The 20,748-nt window shown below is 42.5% G+C and overlaps 1 long non-coding RNA gene across 12 annotated transcripts in view; it reads right to left on the reverse strand.

The window, feature by feature from the left end:
- The window catches only part of LOC124903082 (uncharacterized), an 85,010-nt gene that overhangs the window by 25,968 nt on the left and 38,294 nt on the right, over window positions 1-20,748 (reverse strand). For 4 of the 12 annotated variants that reach the window (XR_007063592.1, XR_007063595.1, XR_007063593.1 and 1 more), the window contains 4 exons: window positions 18,188-18,291; window positions 14,718-14,902; window positions 7,779-7,970; window positions 3,592-7,016 (listed from right to left, as the gene is read on the reverse strand). This is a non-coding gene — a long non-coding RNA (uncharacterized LOC124903082). Of the gene's footprint in view, window positions 1-3,591; window positions 7,971-14,630; window positions 14,903-18,187; window positions 18,292-20,748 lie in introns of those variants that run through there. The other 8 variants (XR_007063590.1, XR_007063600.1, XR_007063598.1 and 5 more) reach the window with 4 other exon arrangements.

The following is a 20,748-nucleotide window of genomic DNA, read 5'->3' on the forward strand; positions in this document are numbered from 1 at the left end:
CTCAGTGACGCTCCCAATGACAAGGACAGTTCTGCTTGAGACCTCAGTTTCCTGTTTTTTTAACCTCTACCTTTCTATCACAGCCGAGATGTGTCATGTCAGCATATTGTGATCATTCTTTAAGTGAGGTATGTACGCTAGCTGCTTGTGAAAATTCAGGTTCCTGGGCCCTGCCCCCAACCTACTTAATTCAAATTTCTGGGGGCAGGGCCCCAGAGTATGCATTTTTAATGATCTCCCTGAGTGGTTCCTAGGCACACTAAAGTCTGGAAACCCCTAACACAGAACTTTGGCAAGCGGGAGAGGAAAAGCAAGCACTTCCTCAACCTGAGCACGTAAAACTCTGCACTGCAAGCTGAGCTCGGGAAGCTGAGTTCCTGAGGGGGATGGCTTCTCCTGTCTCTTATCCACCATGCACTCTTGGGATCTCCCTCTCATTTGCCACTGGAGACAGACGTTGTAGCTCTGCTTGGCTCCTGCACCCCTGAATTCATGCGTGTTCTGCATCATATTCCACTCTGTTCCAACTGTCCCTGGGTGTAGCTTTCCCTTACGGCAGTAAGTGGTCCCCAACTTTTTCAGCATCAGGAATGGTTTCATGGAAGACAATTTTTCCATGGATTGGGGGTTGGGGTGGGGGTGGTTTTGGGATAAACTGTTCCACCTCATATCATCAGGCATTAGTTACATTCTCAAAAGGAGCGTGCAACCTAGATCCCTCGCATGCACAGTTCACACTAGGGTTCACGCTCCTATATGAATCTGATGATGCTGTTGATCTAACAGGAGGCGGAGCTCAGGTGGTTATGCTCACTCATCTGTTGCTCACCTCCTGCTGTGTGTTTCAGTTCCTAAGAGGCCACAGACCAGTACCAGTCCACAGCCTGAGGGCTGGGGACCCCTGCCCTAGAGCATACAGTGCTGCCTCTAGCTTTCAGTGAGGAATAAAATTTCCACTGAGCTGGAGAATTTAACATATTAGTTAAAGGGAGAAGTTAACATATTAGTCACTGAGGTAAATAAATACTACAAAAATAAAAAAAAAGGAAAGGAATAAAGGAAGGCAGGGAAGGAGGGAGGGAGGGGAAAAAAGTAGTTATTCACAGCCATGAACATGCCATGAGGTTTGTAGGGAGTGAAACACACACACATACACACACACACACACACACACATGCACACGTGTTTGTGTTGCTATTTCACTCTCTTTCATTCATTTTTCCAAGTCCCTTCAACATCAACCTTATCACAGTTTTCTTTTTGTGGACCTGGGCATGTCGCTGAACCTGTCTGTGTCTCTGGAGCCATAAAATTGGGATAATAACCCTACTTTTTCTGCCCCCAAGATGTTGTGGAGTAACTTAGATGTGGCTGCTTTCTTTGAAAAGACTAGAGAGTTGTACAAGTATCACAGGTTATTATGATCATTACCAGTTTCCAGGGCCCCTGAGATACCCATGCCAAAGTACCCCAAGGCTCTCTAATGAGCACATATGAACCCGTTCTACAGCTGGACAAGCTGACTCAGTCTGAGCTTTGGCAACATGACCCAGTGAACAGTAGAACAAGTTGAAGACATCAAATGAGGCTCCTAGCCCTTGCTTGTGGACGCTGTTGTGTTTTGCATGTAAGTCAACATACTTTGGTGAAGGGAACAAAGGGAAGTGGGTCATAAAAGTTCAGGACCTTTGCTCCTGGAAGCTGTGAGCACTACTTCTTCCAGAAAGGTCCTTTGTTGCTTCTAGGCACTAATAGGATCAATTGACCTCATGGTAGTCCAGGATTTGGGCTTGTAAGCTCCCCTTGGATCTGATAAAATATTGAGTCAAGGTCCTCTGCTGCCATCAGGGCACAGACAACGTCTGTTGCTTTAAATGCCGTATCCCTAGAGTTCTGCTCAGGGACCTGACACATAGTAGGTGCTCAATAAATGTTTGCTGAATAAGTAAGTGATTGAATAAATGAATGAACAAAAGAGTAAATAAATTTCCCCGTGGGATTCCAGATAAACAGGATATGCTCTCTATGTCTCCTCTCCACACCCACAGCCAATGTTGACAGATTCCCATCCTGTGAGTCCAGATGCAGTCTCAATTCTTGCGGCAGCCACTTCCAATTATTTGTTCATCAACTATCAATCCAGGGCCTCAAAGGTGCAAGGCACTGTTCTAGATACTATGGAACATGGCATTGGATAAAAAGCCAGCTCTCTACCCTGTAGCTGCTTTTATTCCACAGATTTGGCAGAAGAAATGAAACTGATTTACCACCCACAGTTGCCAGAGTAGGAGCCTTTTCAGAGATTCCTCCTCCCCAGGGATCAAGTATTGTTTTGCTTACACAACGGGAACATCATTCTCTGCTCACATCCCATGCTTGATCAATTGCTAGGTCCTATACACACAGATCCTAAAATATTCCTAATATGTTTTGAATCTGGTCACCTCCCCTAATCACCCCTCCCTAGTCTGGAATAACATCGATACTTCCTGGCCAACCGCAGTGGCCCCACCCCTACCATCCTCCAACTTATTATTCATGCAATGGCCTTAGCTCAGCACCTGGCACACAGGGCTTTCGATAAACGCTACTTAGTGTTTTTGTTTTTACAGCAGGGGATCAATACAAGGTAGCCCAATACTACAGTTTCTGCAATTATCACTGAGACAAAGTACATGGAGAGGCTGAAACACATAGACTCTGGAGTTAGACTTCCAGCACCCAAATATATCTTTGCCATTTACTCATTATGCATTTTTAACCTTAACCTCTCTGCGTCTCAGTTTCTTCATCCACAAAATAGAGATAAAAATGAGCTGGCTGCAAAGTGTATGCACATTAATATATGTAAAGGGGCTAGACCAGTTTGAGGCACATAGTAAACACTCTATAAGTGTTATCCATTCTTGATTTTTTTTTTAACATGGCAAAATGTAGAAGAGCGATTAGGTAGGATACTTAGCACTCTTGTTTCTGTTTGTTAAGTAACAAATAAATTTGTTCAGCCATTTCGCATGTTTTGATTAATCACTCACACACAGAATATGTTGGGTACTCCTAGGTATGATGGGCAAATTCTATGAGGACATGACTCCCAAATGCATTTCCCACCACGGGGGGAAGACAACACATACCCTGGAACGCTATCCCTTTTAATCACAGGAAAGACAAAATGGTAATGTTGCTTCACGCTTACCCTCAACAAGTAACGTTGCTTCACGCTTATCCCCGACGACAGGTAACGTTGCTTCACGCTTACCCCCCGACAAGCCTGCCAAATATTTAAGCTTCCCCTTCCATTCACAAGCATCCATGCCCCTGACAATTCTCTGCCTGCTGATGATCTTCACCTGCGCCCACTGGTTGAACTTCCCCAAACCCCCACCTCCCCAAGCCCTCTTTTCTTCTCTTTCACTATTCCCAAATTCTCTGTCAGTCTCTGTTAATTTTCACTGAAGAAAAAAAAAGCTACTTCCTAAAATGTTCAAAAGTCTTTCCTCAGTTTGTTATTAAAGCAATTATCTAGCATAACAAACCGAAATCGCAAAAGGTATTCTAATGGGAAACAAATGCTCCTGACAAGCAACGGACTGGGCTCAGAATCTTTATTGAAAAATGAGGGGAAGGTGATTAGTGGGGAAAGGCAGGGGAGGAAAGATTTTCCACCTGGCCTTGGACAGTACATCAAAAGGCGGTCAGAAGGATGCTATTTATAATCATTATTGCTATGTCTTACAGGGCTGTTGGTCTGCCCCCCCTGCTGATTCCCCCGACAGTCCCGTTTCGGCATGTAGCCTAGTTCACACAGCAGCCACCTTGTAGAGCTGGACTACATGGGGCCATGTCCTGAAGAAAACTTGCGGCCAAGCATGGTGACTCACGCCTGTAATCCCAGTACTTTGGGAGGCAGAGGTGGGCGGATCACCTGAGGTCAGGAGTTTGAGACAAGCCTGGCTGACATGGTGAGACCCCGTCTCTACTAAAAATACAAAAGTTAGCTGGGCATGGTGGCATGCCCCTGTAATCCCAGCTACTCAGGAGGCTGAGGCAGGAGAGTAGCTTGAACCTGGGAGGCAGAGGGTGCAGTAAGCCGAGATCGCGCCCTTGCACTCCAGCCTGGGAGACAGAGCAAGACTCCATCTCAAGAAAAAGAAAAAAAGAAAGAAAGAAAAAAGAAAACTTGCATGGTTTGAGGTCCATGTGCCACAGCGAGATGGGTTCCCAAGTGTCTTCATTCCATCCCTAACATCTTTCCAACCTCACCTCAACCTTCTAATGGGTCATGGCCAATAGCAAAATCCAACACCTAGAACAGCTGCTGAACTTCCCAGATGCCCAGTGAAGTTCTGATTTTCTGTGGGTATGGACTGGAATAGTGTGAATATCACAGGAAACAAGGCTAGGGGAAAACACATTCATTCCACAAACATTTATCAGGCATGTATGATGTGTATATGGGTGGAAATAAAAGAGCTTTCTTCAAGTGTTGACACCAGTATGGAAGATAGGTTTAATTTTGATCCAACTCCCATTGATTGGTCACTGCGACCTGAAACCATGACTTGAGAATATTCTGCTCTCAGAAGGAAGTGATTCTCTGGTTGATTATTGATGCCTGTCACAGGCACAATACCGAGAAATGGGAGCACACTGCCTATTTGACAAAGCTTTTTAGTGCCGCTTTTCTCAAACTGGAATGTGCATGCTAATTAACTGGGATCTTGTTAAATTACAGATTCTAAAATAGCAGGTCTGGGGTAGGGCCTGAGATTTAGTATTTCTAGCAAGATCCCAGGAGGTGCTGATGCTGCTGGGCCAAGGAACTGTCCAGTAGGACCTATCAATAAAGTCATCACATTCTCAGATCTGTCATTCACATGGTCAGATAACTTTATCTAAATCTTTGCACTGAAGAACAAGGAATTCCAGAGTACATTCTGAAAGGACGATTCAAGATCTGGTCTCTGAGTTTTCCAAAATCAAAGGCGGTGGTCCAGTCAGCTCAGACTTGGAACAGGTGTTTCCATGGATTGTCTGGGAGCAAATGAAGGCTCCCAGAGGGTTTCAGGCTCGGCTCAGAACTCCATCCAGAAGTTCAGATGTTTCTCCAAATCAACTCCAAGGCATCTGTCTGTCTCTGGGGGCCTCCTAGGAACTCTGTCTAAAGCTCCAGAAGACCGCATTCCTGGTGAACCTTCAGGCAGCACCACCTCCTTCTTGGCTGAACAGATGATCACTTCAAAGTTCTCCTTTCTTGTGGTATTTTAGTACCTCTGGCCTTGGCCAGAAACCATCAACCCAGAGGCGTATAAAAGTGAAAAAGAAGAGAAGAGAGAAAACATCATTTATCAACTCCCCTACTCACACCTAAATATTGTCAAAGAGTTTTGTTTGGACCAAGTTTGAGTTAGGGTGAAGATCCAATGAGACCTTACAGAGTTTGTTAACTCTTGTTCTATTTCCCCACTTATATCCTCTTATACCAGAAGGAGCAAAAATCACCCACCAAATAGATGGTGTCATATTTACAATCTTCCAGCTGCTCAAAGAACATCTTCTAGCCATGCAGTGAGAGGGGTGACACAATGCACAGGAGACCTATGCTTGGTGGACAGACATACCTCTCCTGAGCAAGGTTGTGTAGAAAAGAGTTAAAGAGCAGATGGGTTGGAAATCACATTTTGGTTTTGAGATCCCAGTTTCACCACTGAAGTACTCCATCTCATACTCTCTCCTGCTCATGGACTATAGTCAAGCTGTACTGTCCATGTTTCTGTTCCTCTAAGGTTGTTCCCACCCCACTGTCTTTGCACCTGCTATTCCTTCCATTTAGAATGATCTTCCACAAATCTTTAAACGGTTGCCTCCCGTGACTTGAGTTGCACCTCATCTACCACCTCTACAGAGAGGTCTTAACTGATCATACCGGCTAAAGGAGTCCACACCACCTCTGGCCATTTTTAAGCACATTGCCCTAATTAATTTATTACATAGCTCTACTCTCTGTCTGAATTTGAATGACAGTTTTTAAAATTTGTTTATATGTTAATTGTCTGTATTTTCCTCTAGAATATAAGCTCCATGAGGGTAGGAATTTGTCTTCTGTTTGCTGGGGTATTTTTATACATCTTGAAGAATTCCTGACACATAGAATGTACTCAATATATATTTATTATTGCTATTGAATAAATGATCTCCCTGGCTAGAGTGATTGGTTTAGGGCTGATCATGTGATTTCACCAGGGTGATGTGATTTTGGCAGGGCCAAAGCTTTTCGGGCTTTTTCTCTTGAGTTAATGGAAAGAGAAGTCACTTTCCACTGGCCACACTAGAGGACTGTGGGTGTTGAGCTAACAGAAGACATTTCACCTACTGGGTGAAGAAAGCCTGCCCAAGAGATGGCTTGAGCCCTGACCACAAAATGTAGATGATGTCTGCAACTAGAAATGTCTACCTTTGGCATCTTCAGCTACAGTGACTCTGTATCCACCATTTCCTCCTCCCCCTATTCAACAGCAATGCAGAAAGCTTAAGTTGCACTGGGTGTCTGTCATTCACAATTGATGCAGTCTAAGCAATCCATGTGGGATTGTGGCTAGATCTACATTAGGTCCTGCTTCTACCACTTCCTAGCTAGAGGACGCTGTAGCAGGTTGAATGCTAGTTCCCCCGAAACATGTTCACCATGTAACATTTGGAAAAAGGCCCTTTTTAGATATAATTACAGATCTCGACAGGAGATCATTCTCAATCATCCAGGTAGGCCCTACATCCAATGATAGTGTCTTTATAGGAGAAATACAAAGGCAAATTGGAGAGACACAGAAGAGAAGGCCATGTGAAGACAGTGGCAGAGATTGGCGTGACACAGATACAAGTCAAAGAATATCTGGAGGCTCAGAAGTTGGAAGTGGCAAGGAATGGCTTCTCTCCTGGAGGTTTTGGGGGATGTGAAGTTCTTCTGACACCTTGATTTTGGCCCAGTGATACTTATTCCAGACTTCTTGCCTCTAGAACTGTGAGAAAACACATCATTTTTGTTGTTTTAAGCCACCAAGCTTGTAGTAAATTGGTACAGCAGCCACAGAAAACTAATACAGATCCCCAAACTCTCTCCTATTTCAATTTCCTTTTCAGGAAAAACAAAACACTGATTTCTCCCAGTTTTCATCAAAGAAGGAATCAAATGGAAATAAAATTAACCTGGGCCCAAATCACAGCTCTGTTCCTCACTAGCTGTGTGACCTCCGGCAGCTCTTGTTTTCTGAGTCATGGTTTTATAATTTGTGAAATGGGTGCATTCATAACCCTCTCCCCATAAAATCTGCAGAAAGGATTAAATGCAGTAATGCCTGTAAACTTTTCTGTGCAGTGCCTAGCACATCATAGATACTCACTGGATTACCAGACTATTCTGGTCATTATATACTTTCATATACGTGCATTTGCTTTGTATCATAGGGGAGTCACTCTAAAAGAAAGTCTTGAACTATTATTTCAGGAAACTTTGAAATGTCTGTGAACAGGATGTTGACATTTTTAGATCAGTGATTTTCAAATGTCGTAGTTAGTTGCTGATAAATTATTCTGAAAGATAGTTAAATACAGAGATCACTGGATTCCTTCAGACGCTTCTTAATTGGGAATTCAAGAAGTAGGGCTGTGAACCTGGATTTTAAACAAGCAGAGCGACATGTGGAAGCCATTCTTTTTAGATTATAATTCCTATTATTATTACTTTGAAAGCAGTTGCTGAAAATGTGCCAGACACAACCTACCCCAGTGAGTGCTGTCCGAGAAGCTGGACCCTGGTCTCCTCTCTCACTCCAAGCCTCTGCAGCCAAGCATACTGTGCACTGGAGGGTTCAGCTGGACAGAGCCTCTCCCCAAGGTGGTTCCCACTGGGACTATATTCAGGGAGTCAGCGAGAGTTTTCTCCAACTCCCACAGACCTTGTGATGTGGTGTTCCCTGTCGGGTGAGACAGAGGGAACATATGTGAGGAACACATATCATAAACAATGGAATCCATAAATCTTGGGCACGTTGTCTGGTTCCTTAATTCCAGTTGCAGAACAACAGTCAGGACCAGGAATTGCAGGCAGATCTGCAGGCTGCCCCAGTCTGCCTTCTGAAGGCCAGTTGCTGCAGAGAGAAGCTCATGTTGGCAAAAGCTTTTTATCTATCTGTGATTTATCACCCTACCTTTTTTTTTAATGGAAGATGCAAAAACTAAATAACTTAAAAGACAGTCTCTAACATTCTTGCCTGTAGCCTTAGGAAGCATAGGCCTTAAGTGATGCTCAGCAAGTTTGTGAAAACCCCAACTGTTTCCCGAGACAAACTTCTTTTGTTTTTTTTTTTGTTTGTTTGTTTTTTGGTGATGAGACATCCATTTCATGGTTTTTTGTTTTTTAATTTCGGTAGTTTTTTGGGGTACAGGTGGTTTTTGGTTACATGGATAAGTTCTTTAGTAGTGATTTCTGAGACTTTAGGACACCCATCACTGAAGCAGTGTACACTGCACCCAGTAGGTAGTCTTTTATCCTTCACCCCCTCCCAAACTTCTCCCCTGAGTCCTCAAAGTCTATTATATCACTCTTATGCCTTTGTGTCCTCATAGCTTAGCTCCCACTTATAAGAGAATACACTATATTTGATTTTCCATTCCTGTGTTACTTCACTTACAATAACAGCCTCCAGCTTCATCCAAGTTGCTATAAAAGACATTATTTCGTTGCTTTTTATGGCTGAATAGTATTCCATGGTGTACATATACCACATTTTCTTAATCCACTCGTTGATTGATGGGCACTTAGCGTGGTTCCATATCTGTGCAATTGCGAATTGTGCTGCTATTAACATGTGTGTGCATGTGCCCTCTTTATGTAATGACTTCTTTTCCTTTGGATAAATACCCAGTAGTTGATTGCTGGATCAAATGGTAGTTCTACTTTCATTTCTTTAAGGAGTCTCCATACTGTTTTCCATAGTGACTGTACTAATTTACATTCCCACCTGCAGTGTAAAAGTGTTCCCTGTTCACCACATGCATGCAAGGCAAACTGTTTGGAAGGAAAGCTGTTCCCTGAGTTCAGATTCTGCTTCTATGTTATCTGCATTTACTTGTTTTCTGGCATTCACAGAGCTAAGAATACAGTAAAGTATTTCCAGCACCTACATCTCTACCTAATTAAAAAAAAAAAAAAAGCAAAGAAACACTGAGACAATGCTTTGTTTCAGGAACAAAAGAAAGTTTGTATACCCTTAGCCTGCATCATTCATTTGTATGCCAGATCTCTGAAAGGAGTTTGTAAAACCTGTTCGACTGAGCTCCTGGTACTGGAGGCCTGCAGACTGGGAGAAAGGACTGGATTCCAACCCCAATCTCGGGACTAGATTCAGTGTGTGGGTTCTGGTGCTGACTGGCTGACTTGAATCCTGGTTCCCTCACTTCCTGAGTAACTGCACCTCAGTTATGTAATCTGTAAAATGGGCACACCTACCCTTACCTCTCACTTAGGGTGGCTGTGGGAGTTGAAAAGGGCTAGTTGAGCATGCAATAAGTTCTACAGATATGAGCTAGTAGCACTATCTTGGGAAGTTTTCCTAATTTCTCTAGGAAGGCTAGACATGCGGCTAATTCTTCCTGACTCAGAGGAGTGTGGTACGGTACTGATGAGACAGCACCTCTTCTGTGTGTAGCGTAGAGCCTGGAACACTTAGGTACTGAACCGAAGTCGGGTGTGTGTTTTCCCATGAATGGGCAGAAGTGGAGCTTGCAAACGCTTTTTTGCAAGAAGTAGCAGTTATCACTGAGTTGCTAATGACTTAAAGAGAAAAGAATCCCCATTACTGAATAGAGAGACATTACACCCAATAACCAATGAGTCAGGGTACGGCATGGGTGTGATGATTGGGGGACTACATGAGAGAATAAACTCTACAGCGAACCCAACAACCCAGAGCCTCAGGCCACACTTTTCCATGCCAGGGTGCTGTCTTCTCAGGCTGCAGACACACAATAAGATGCTGTTCTCACAGTGCCAGATCACAATCTTTGCTGGGAGGGTCTGTTAGCACCATGAACTTGTTCTGTTCTAACAGCCTGTGCTCACCCTTGTCTAGTGATGATTTAATGCTTTAAGCCTCTGAGATCAGGGCCAAAAATAAAATGGTGGGGAAATCAGACACAGCGCTAGATACCAGCAATATATTTAGGGAACAGGAGCATTTGTTCTGCCCATTTTCAAGTTTCCATTTTCTTTTCTTTATGACCTTCTGGCACGTGGTTGAGACATGGAAGCTTCCAGTAGATTACAGGGTGGAATAAAGGTGTTTCCATAAGTAACACTGCAAATATAATTCATTTTACTATTGATCACTGGGAAGATGGCAGTGAACAGAACAGACAAAACATCCCTGCCCTCTTGAAGCTGGCATTCCAGTGGGGTGGAGGGTTTGGGCCAAAGAATGACAGAAGATGAAAGGGCATTTGTCCTCTCCATGTTTTTCTCTAATAAGAGGCCCTAGGCGAAGTTCTGCTGATGATTGTGTAAACTGAGCCTCTTGCACAATCCCAGTGCAAATCACACTGTGGACGATGTCAGTGGCCCTCCCTAGAGTCATCCATCACCTAACCTGTTTGACCATAAGCTGCAGTCCTGAAGATACAGGGCAGGAGCTAGTGTTGGGTTACATTGAGATGAATACCCAATGCCTCAAATGAGAAACGAAAACATACATAGAACAAAAGGTGCTACCGGTGGGCCCTGCTCTTCTGCTTGCATTCGTCTGAATATCTAACAACAACTGCAGCATCCATCATCTACCGGGAAGCGACAGTGTATCAGAGCCTGTGTCAGGTCACACAGATAACAGGAATTGGGAATCAAGTCATCATGATTAAGCAATTAAAGAGACTCTCTTATTAAACAAAGACCATGGCTAAATATTGAAATTGGGAAAAGGGCTTTTCTTCTCACGGCCTTTGGTTCTACGATTTTTTTTTTTTTAGAGAGATGGGGTCTCATTATGTTAACCAGGCTGGACTCAAACTCCTGGCCTCAAGCCTTCCTCCCACCTGAGCCTCCAGAGTAGGTGGGACTACAGGTGTGTGCCACTATGCCTGTCTTAGTCCTACTATTAACTCTCCTAGAAACACTAGTTTCCACCCTAACTCCTCTCGCTTTCTCCTTCCCTCCTCTCTCTCTCTCTCAAATTCTCCCCATACTCAAACCTACCTCATATGCTGTTTCCAACATGAAACAAAAGCCCCAATGATGCACAAAACAAAGCCTTGTGAATGTCACTCATCCTTGGATTTTTGTAACATCCGCTGCTGGCACCTGACACCCAGTGGAGGCTCAACGACTCTTTTTAGTTTGAAAGAATAACAAGCAGAGAACTTTTTTGGAGCATGTCTTATTCAATTATGTATTTTTTTTTAAAACCCATGACTTTGAATTATGATTCTAGATACTGATATTTATATTTTTTAAGCCCCAAGTTTTTTGTATCATTAGAACAAAGTTTAGTTGTAACAGAGTCTCAAACTAACAGCAGCATACCCCCAGTAGAAGTGTCCTGCTCTCTCATATATAAATCTGAAGGGAAGAAGTCTAGAGCTAATGGGAGGCTTTTGCAGGTCAAGTCCCCAGAGGCCAAGGCTCCTTCCAGATTTTGGCCCTGCCTTCCTTAGGATGTGGCCCAGGTTCATGTAATCCAAGTCGACTGCCAGGACTGTCATCATGCTATTCACCTTCCAACCAGCAGGAAGGAGAAAGGAACAACAAATGAAAACAAACAAATAAATAAACAAGGGTCTGAGCTAGCTGTCTTTTTAGGAAAGATATTATAATGTACTGGCCAAAGCTTAGATATATGGCCAAATCTAGTGACAAGGGAGGCTGTAGTCTTTATTCTCAGGGACTGTATGTCCAACTCAAATGATGTATATGTGCTTTTTTTGGTTGCTATTCTAATTCTTCCTTCTCCGAAATGAGGAAGCTAGTCTGGCTAGGAACTTGCCATGAGGGTATAGCAGCAGGAACCCTCATTTATATCCCAAACCAAGCCCTCATTTATATCCCAAACCTAGCCCTGCTAGAAAGCTCAGCATTTGGTGCCATTGAATGTTGGCTAGGTTATTCATTCATATCCGTTATTAATAAAGCAGTGGCCTGCTTCCTGCTTGGCGGGTATTCCTTATGTGAAAATCTCCCTCTGTTAGGACCCTTTTAGGGAGAAGAGGTGAATGGCAAAGCACTGTGATCTCAAGCTTTGCACCATTAGCCCATAATTGAAACCTCATCCCCACCTCTAATAGGCCCTACATTGTGTAATGCGCTATGTAGAGCTGCTGTCATTCATTCATCACAAAATCCACATGTGATTTTTGTTATCCCCACATTACAGAAGAGGAAGCAGAGATGCTGAAGGTAGACTATCTTTCTCAAGCTCACTGTGCTCTCTCAGAAGAGGCAGAACACAGGCTCCAAAGCCAGTCTCTTGACTTCAGCCACTAATTTAACTCCAGCTACATTTTATCCCCTCTTCTCTCATTTTTCCCTTGTTTTAACTTCTTCATGAAATTACATATTTTATTTTTGCATTTCGTTTAATCTCACTTTATTGTTCTTGTTTTTATTGTTATTTTTATAATCCCACTAAATTCTTACCAGAACAATGAAAAACATGAATTGTCCCATATCATTGTGGATGCCCATGTCTTCCCCACTGAACTCTGAGTTCTCTGAATTCCGTGACTGGGCCTTTCTTTCTGCAACCTCGGTACCTCCTCCCAGCCTTGGCACATGGTTGGCTCTCAGTCCATACTGGAAAAAAGGATGCAGTTCCACCTCCACCTCCTTCTCCAGACCTAGCCAGCAAGTTGGAATTCCAGTCCCTGGTGGGACAGTCATTGGTTTTTTGAGCAATCTCTGGCTGGTTGAGGATGGGTTTTCTTTGATCTGTCTGGGTGATCTCTGGGGACTAATGAAGCCAAGCTGGGCCAGCAGATTTGGTCAGCATCTGGGACCATGGTTCCATGTGGTAATTGGAACATGACTCCAAAGGAACTGTGTCCATCATGCCTGGACCTATTATTTCATTATGGTGACTGAGCTTCCGGAATATTGCAACCCCTGCCTTACCACACCATGTCTTTCTGTGGGAGAGTCTTTCATCATTGTTTCCCATGGTGTCCAGTCTGAGTATCTCAAAATAACTTGCCTTTATTGGCTGTTGTTCAATAAGTTAATCTGTACTCATTCATTTGATCTTGGCAATAACCCCTTGAGCTAGAAACTAATATTATCTGCCTGTTATGGATGAGAAGACCAACACATGTAATGAGGGCAGTTAGCTTTCTCAAGGGCACACACTGGCAGAGCTGGGGCTCAAATTCCAGTGTTTCAGCCCCAGAACCCGGACTCTTAACCACTCCATTATATGGAGGCAACCAAAACATGGTAGCCACACAGGTGTAGAGCATACTGTCATGCTCAGCATGCTTCCTCGCAATGTAGCATTGACCATATGGGAGGCACAAATTACCAACATGTGGGCCTTTCTTGACCAGTGTCGTGCTACTCTGAAATGATAGAAGATATGAAGTTGGTTGTCAACTGTAGTGTTTTGACTTACACACACTTAGGTCTGGTTTTTAGCTCTGTAACTGGGTGAGGCAGCATCTTTCAAGCTATCTGTCCACCTTCTAATGCCACCTTAACTGAGTTCTTCACCCACAGTGATCAATCCCCACGAGGCCGTATTATATCATATGACCCCATCCACCTGCAGCCTCTGATATGTGACTAGGATTAAACACTTGACAGAAGCTAAGCCAATAGAAATTTTGTGCCCAGGATTCTGAGAGGGAGAGTTGCTCTATTTATCTATTTAGATGTCTTTTTTTTTTTTTTTTTTGAGACAGGGTCTTGCTCTGTCACACAAGCTGGAGTGCAGCGACGTAATCATAGCTCATAGCAGCCTCAAACTTCTGAGCTCAAGGGATCTTCCTGCCTCAGCCCCCTGAAGAGCTGGGACCACAGGTATGAACCATAATGTCCACCTAATCTTGTTACTATTTATAGTGACAGGATCTTGCTATGTTGCCCAGGCTGAACCTAAACTCCTGGGCTCAAGCGATCCTTCTGCCTCACCCTCTCAAGATGCTGGGATTACAGGCATGAGCCACTGTGTCTGGCCTATTTTTGTGTTTTAATCTTTAATATGAAAGTTTGGTGGTGGTCATCTTTGATCACTCTACACATGAGAAAAAGAAAGCTATGAAGCTAAGGGGCAGATAAGACAGTAAACGTAAGCCACATTTTTCTAGCTGTTCATTCTTGCCCCTTCCCAAAATCCACCTGCCCCTCTATCTTTGGTAGACCATCTAGTGCTTTATTTTTCCCTTGAGATAGCCTCTGGATTTTATTACTTGTAACCGAAAAGACACAACCTCTGTTCGCTCCACCTGGAACATAAATTTCTAAGCTTTTTGCAATGTTAACTCCTTATGTAATTCAGCTTCTAAGTTTTGCCTCAAATCCACCATTTACATGGAGTTCTTAAAGCACTGTAATTACTTAATAATATTTAATAGTGAATGGATAAATGAAATCTTACCAATACTTAACGTTACTTTGAGAAAATTCATTCACATCTCTGAACCTCAGTTTCCCCAACTGTGAAACAGAAGCATAGAGAGCCAACCTCAACAAGGCAGCTGCGGAGACTGAAAATAAGGTGTGCAAGGTGCCCGGCACAGAGGAAACACTCAGTGAACAGCAGCCACTCTGGACAATGATCTGCAGGCATCCCCAGTGATAGGCAATTGATTCCTGCCCCAGGTAATGTCCTCTTTCTATGTCTTGGCTCGAACCTCCAGCAGGGTGAGACTGTGGAAAAAGGAATAATCTGAAATTAGATTTGCCCCTATGATTCCCAAATCAGAATCCATTTTCATTTGATGTCTCTATGCCCTGAGTAGAGCAGCTGTGCCGGGGATTAAATAAGGGGGACAGATCTGTCTTCTAAAGAAAGGAGAATTTTCCATACTGGTCTGTCAGGATATTTGCTTTCCCACTGTTTGTCTGGGTTGGATCCCAGATTTGCTGTCACACTGGCCTCCTCCCTTGCAATAGCCAGAGATCATATTAAGCGTCCACTCATGGAATTGAGAGGAGAGATAGAAATGCATTAGTGTCAAGATCTCCAGGGTGCATCTAAAATAAATATGATTCCTCTCTTCCCACTCCTCACACCATATGCGGGGGACACCCAGTGTTTATTTTTCAGCTGCGCCAGCCAGTCTGGAAGAGGACACCATGGAAATGGGAGAAAAAGGATCAGGGTGGTGTAACATATCACTGGGGGAAGTTTAGGGCCCATCACTCAACAAATAACAAGTCAACAACCCCTGTCGCTTGGATATCCCCTGTGAAAGCTGCATCACCCTGTTTCACAATAACTTTAATCTGACTGTGTAAATTCAAGAAGTTCCCATGGCTTGTAAATGACTGGCACAAAGTGGCCCGTTAAAATAATTCAGGTTCTTTGCAAAGAAAAAAAAATGGGGGCAGCTTTAAAATAAACCACAATGCATAAGTCACCAATATGTCAGATGTTGGTGGAAACCAGCAAACTAAACTTATATTGTGAGGCCATACACAATTTTTTTCTTTAATCAGCCTGCTTTCCTCTCATGGGTGATTGGAGCTAAATTTTATAATGTGGTAGAAAAGACGCATTGGTGTTAACTTAATGTGGAGTTAACTTGTAGTACATTATGTAACTTCGGGCAAGTAACTTTTACGTGAAACTCAGATTGCCCATCTAGAAAATGAGAAAATTGGACAGTAGGTAGGAGAGTATATATTTGGCTCACAGGTCATAACTCTCTATTGTCGCATCCACAACAGACATCACTAGTCACTCATTTTATTTATTTTTCCTGTTGAACCCAGATGAGGTCTCAGGATTTATCTCAGCTGAGAGTTTCAGGGAGCCACTACCCACTGATAAAAGATAGACTTTGAGAAGAAGCTTCTCTGTCATTCCTACAGCAGATGATTCTTGAACGTTCTTTGCATTGCACAAGCACTGTGTCATGTGGGCAATCGGACATGCCACCTCCACCCTACATAAATTTGTAGAGGTACTTCTTACCTTCATACCTTCAACCAAACTCGGTAAGCTGCCTTTGAAATAAGTTCATTAGGAGGTAAGATTTCCAAATAATACTTTGCACTCAAGTCTCAAGTTTTTGTTTGTTTGTTTGTTTTTATTCATCAAATTGCTCATCCCATGAAAGCTTCAGGAGGAGATGTAACTAATTGCATGGGAGAACTACATGGAGATGGCCTCAGAGCAATTCACAGGACTGTTCTGAATTGTCAAGATCTGCCTTGGATCCAGAAGACCTGGAAGCTTTACCAAACTTATACATGAAATTTCTCCACAGACCCCAGCTCAGCCCCACCGACTTGGTAGTGACTCTTTTTTTTTTTTTTTTTTTTTTTTTTTTCAGATGACCAATGAAAGGATCGGTCTGCCTCTCCAAAGTCCTCAGAAAGAATACCAAAATTGTGGCTAGGTCTGAGAAAGTTTTTATACAATGTCATGGGATTGGTAAATCCATTGTAGCACTGGCTTATCTGTCAAGGCTGACATATGGCAGGGTAACGCTTCCTTCCCTAAGCATTTTTCTTTGGTGAAAGAGAAACTCTGGTCCCTATGAGAAAAGAATATGAGACTGACTCAGAGTCCTATTCATGTTTGATGCTACTGGGCACAGCTGTTTCTGGCTTCAAGGCATCTATCACATCTATGACTTTTTCTCCAGCAACCCCTGTGATAAAGTTCATGAAACTAGAATCCCCATAGAAGAATGGTGGCTGGCACTATACTTTGGGGACACAAGTTGTGAAACTCTCAGTGGCCCAGCATCCAAATTTCTATTGTGCAGAGTCTTCTCTGATTTTGGAAAATGCCTTACAAAGTTAGGATGTTGAGACGAGGCTCATGGTGATGACACAGGCAGGTTTGTTTATGGAGTGGGGACAAATATTTTGAATCCTGCTTGCTGTTTGTTTTGTCTAATGTACACATAAAACTCAGAATGATGTTACCAGGGATATTGCACATCAAGCACTTAGCACGGTGTCTGGCAGGTGGAAAGGGCTCAGTAATGGGAGATACTGAGTGGATAATTACAATAGCATCTTAAGTAGGCTTCCTGCCTCTAACTTTAACCTTCTCTGTTCCTCCCTCTAAGCAAGAGTGAAGATGATGACGATGACGATGATGATGATAAGGGTAGTAATTGGTTTCCCGTTATCAAGCACCCACTGCATGCCAGTAAGTGTTTGCTTGCACCACCTCATTCAATCCTTTCAATGGTTATCAATATTATTATGCCAATGTGAACATTGCAGAAAATGAGGCAGAGAGAGGTTGTGTTCACTTGCTAAAGTCTTGCAGCTTGTAACTGTATGAGCCAGGATTTGAACCCCACCCCTCCTCTTAAGCACTTTGCTATGCTGTCTTTCATTCACCCATCCAATTATTACCTGTTGAGGGCCTACTACCCTCTTAGTATATGGTCTACCCTGTTCAAGCCTGGTATAGACTGAGTGTTAACTATATGGTAGAAATTATTGTTATTAGTTATTATTTTTATTTAGATAATTTTGCCTCATAAGGGAGGCTGAAATAATTATAATATTTGTCCTGAAAAGTGTAGCCAGAGAGTATGATATGAAAGGATGCACATTGCATTAGGACCCATGAGTCCTGGCTTCTAGTTCCAGCTCCCATCCCCACTCACTGTGCTACATTAAGCAGGGCATTTCCCCAATCTGGGCGCCGGGTATCACGGGTTACCTCTCAACTCAGCTGTTACAAGTCCCTTCCGTCTAGAGGAGAGCATCAAAGCCAGGAAAAACTAAGCTTCCCTAAACCTGCAGTGCTTTACCTGATGGAGCCAAACTCCATGTAGCAAACCTAAAACCTTGATGCTGTGTAAATTGGCACATACACACAGCTTCCACGTGGTGATGACTATCAAAACAAGCTTTTGTCTACCCCACAGGGTCAGCCTCCTTTCTGAAAATCAAGCAGCTGACTGAGTCCAGGTCAAAGTCCCAGTGGGAGTGAGAGCCCAGAGCAAAGCGTGCACTTACATTCCATGATGATGATGCTTGGTGATGAATGAACCAGCTTCTTGGCAGGAAGGAAGTTCCTACAGGTTGAGGTGATCCTCCTAGCAATGTGTTTATTTGACAGCCTAAGGCAGCAAAAATTCACAGAGAAGAGAAAAGAGAGAAGAAAAGGGCATAAAAGAAAGGTTATTTAAGAACATCAGGATCCTCCCTGGCCAGCCAAACACTCATAAAACTAGAGCAGAAGATCATATAAACACATTGTGAAAAAATAAGGTAATCGGAGACTAAAAAGGTCCTAGAGAGGTATTAAGGCCAGGAAACATGTACTTTCTCTACCTTAGTACTTAGGCTCATTAATTTTTATTTAATCTACTTGGCACATAATAAATACTCAAGAAATATTTGTGAAATGAATGAACTACAGGAAGAAATCATTGTTGACTATGGCTGCCAATGACGGTGTCACAGGTTAAATGGGTGGTGGGAGCTGGGTACAATTTGAATTGCTAGAAAAAGAAAATAATTCAGAAAGACCATCAATTTTAACAAAGATCCCCATGAGAGAACAAACTTGGCTTGTTCTGTTGGGAGTTAAATTATTCAAAAGAGCCTAGACTATTTTGCAGACAATTTCCCTGGAATTTTAGTGATTCAATATCATAAAGGTTGATTTCTTATTCATGTTGTATGCCCAGCAGGTAATGTAAGGGGGCTCTGCTCCACATAGCCATTCAAGGATCCAGGATGATGGCAGGATCCGTTGACTACTTAGTCTTAGCTGCATCATCTGCAATATTAGTCCGCCATGGTCACCACAGAAGGGGAAGAGAGCTCATGGAGAACCCACATCTGATTTGTGTGCTTTGGCATGGGAATGACATGTATTCCCTCTTCTCTCAGCCCAATAGACAGAATTGGACACATGGCTCCACCTGACTCTAGTAGGCTGGGACGTACAAAGAACCCATGGCTCTGTTTCATAGCAGTCATTAGGAGAGCAACCTGCTAGAGTGGTAAACACATTTTAGGTAAGGTAGAAAAATAATTAAGTATTTGTAGTTCTGCTATGACAATGCATGACCTAGAAGTATCTCCAATAACATAGGAAAACCCCTTCTATGGTGTGCCAAAATTTGTCAATATATTAAAAGAAATCTTCATTCTTTTCATTTTATGATTTCAAAGCTGTTAGAAAAGGACTCCAGTCTTTTGAGTCCATAGCCTCTTCTCAATGACATATGAGTGAATTCAGGTGCCTGCAAAAATTAATTCTTAGGGAGGGCAGAGATTCTAAACTTACATAGAGCTGGGTCCAAATTCCAGCTCCACCACCCTCCTCAAGGCCCTTAATCTTCATCTCTGCATTCATTCATTTGGTTAATATTTACTATGCACCAGCCCATTAATCAAGAAAGATAAAAGGGAAATACTCTGACACAATTCTTATCCTCAGTAAGTCTTCAGATTATTGGATAACAACTAAATGAAATGGACTGATACAATTAATATTAATATTTTTAAAATGTCTATACTACCCAAAGCTATCTATAGTTTCAATACCATCCTATCAAAATCCCAATGGCATTTTTTTTTTGCAGAAATAGAAAACAAATTCTAAAATTCTTATGGAACCACAAGTTACCCAGAAACCAAAGCACTATTGAACAAGAAGAACAAAGCTGGAAGCATCACCCCTTCCTAATTTGAAAATATGTTTCAAAGCTACAGGCATTAAAACAATACAGTACTGGCATAAAGACAGACATGTAGACCAATGGAACAAACAGAAAGCCCAGGAATAAACTTGTGATTATATAGTCAATTGATATTTGACAAGGGTCCCAAGAACACACTTAGAGAAAGAGTATTCTGTCCAATAAATGGTGTTGGTAAAACTGGATATCCATGTGCAAAAGAATGAAAGTGGACCCTTATCTTACACCATACACAAAAACAAACTTAAAATGAATTAAATATTTAAATTAAGATCTGAGGCTATAAAGCTCCTAGGAAAAAATGGGAAAAAGTGTCCTTGATATTGACATTGGCAATGATTCCTTGGATATGGCACCAAAAGCACAAGCAACAAAAGCAAAAACAGACAAATTGGACTATATCTAACTAAAAACCTTCTTCACAGAACAAAAAAACTTCAAAATGATAATACAACTAACAGAACGGGAGAAAATGTTTGCAAACCATAGCTGTATATATCATTAAGGGTTGATATCCAAACGATATAAGAAACTCCTACAATTTACTAGGAGAGAGGGAGAGAAAGGGAGAAAGGAGAGGAGAGGAAGGAAGGGAGGGAGGGAGGGAGGGAGGGAGGGAGGGAAAGAATGAAAGAAAGAAAGAAAGAAAGAAAGAAAGAAAGAAAGAAAGAAAGAAAGAAAGAAAGAAAGGAAGGAAGGAAGAGAGAGAGAAAAAAGAAAGAGAAAGAGAGAGAGAAAGAAAGAAAGAGAGACAGAAAGAAAGAAAGGAAGGAAGGAAAGAAAAGAAAAGGAAAAGAAAAGAAGAGAGGAAGCAAAGAAATAAAGAAGAAAAGAAGGGAAGAAGGGAGGAAGAAAAGAAGAAAG

Source organism: Homo sapiens, chromosome 12, assembly GCF_000001405.40.
Source record: "Homo sapiens chromosome 12, GRCh38.p14 Primary Assembly".
Taxonomy (NCBI): domain Eukaryota; kingdom Metazoa; phylum Chordata; class Mammalia; order Primates; family Hominidae; genus Homo; species Homo sapiens.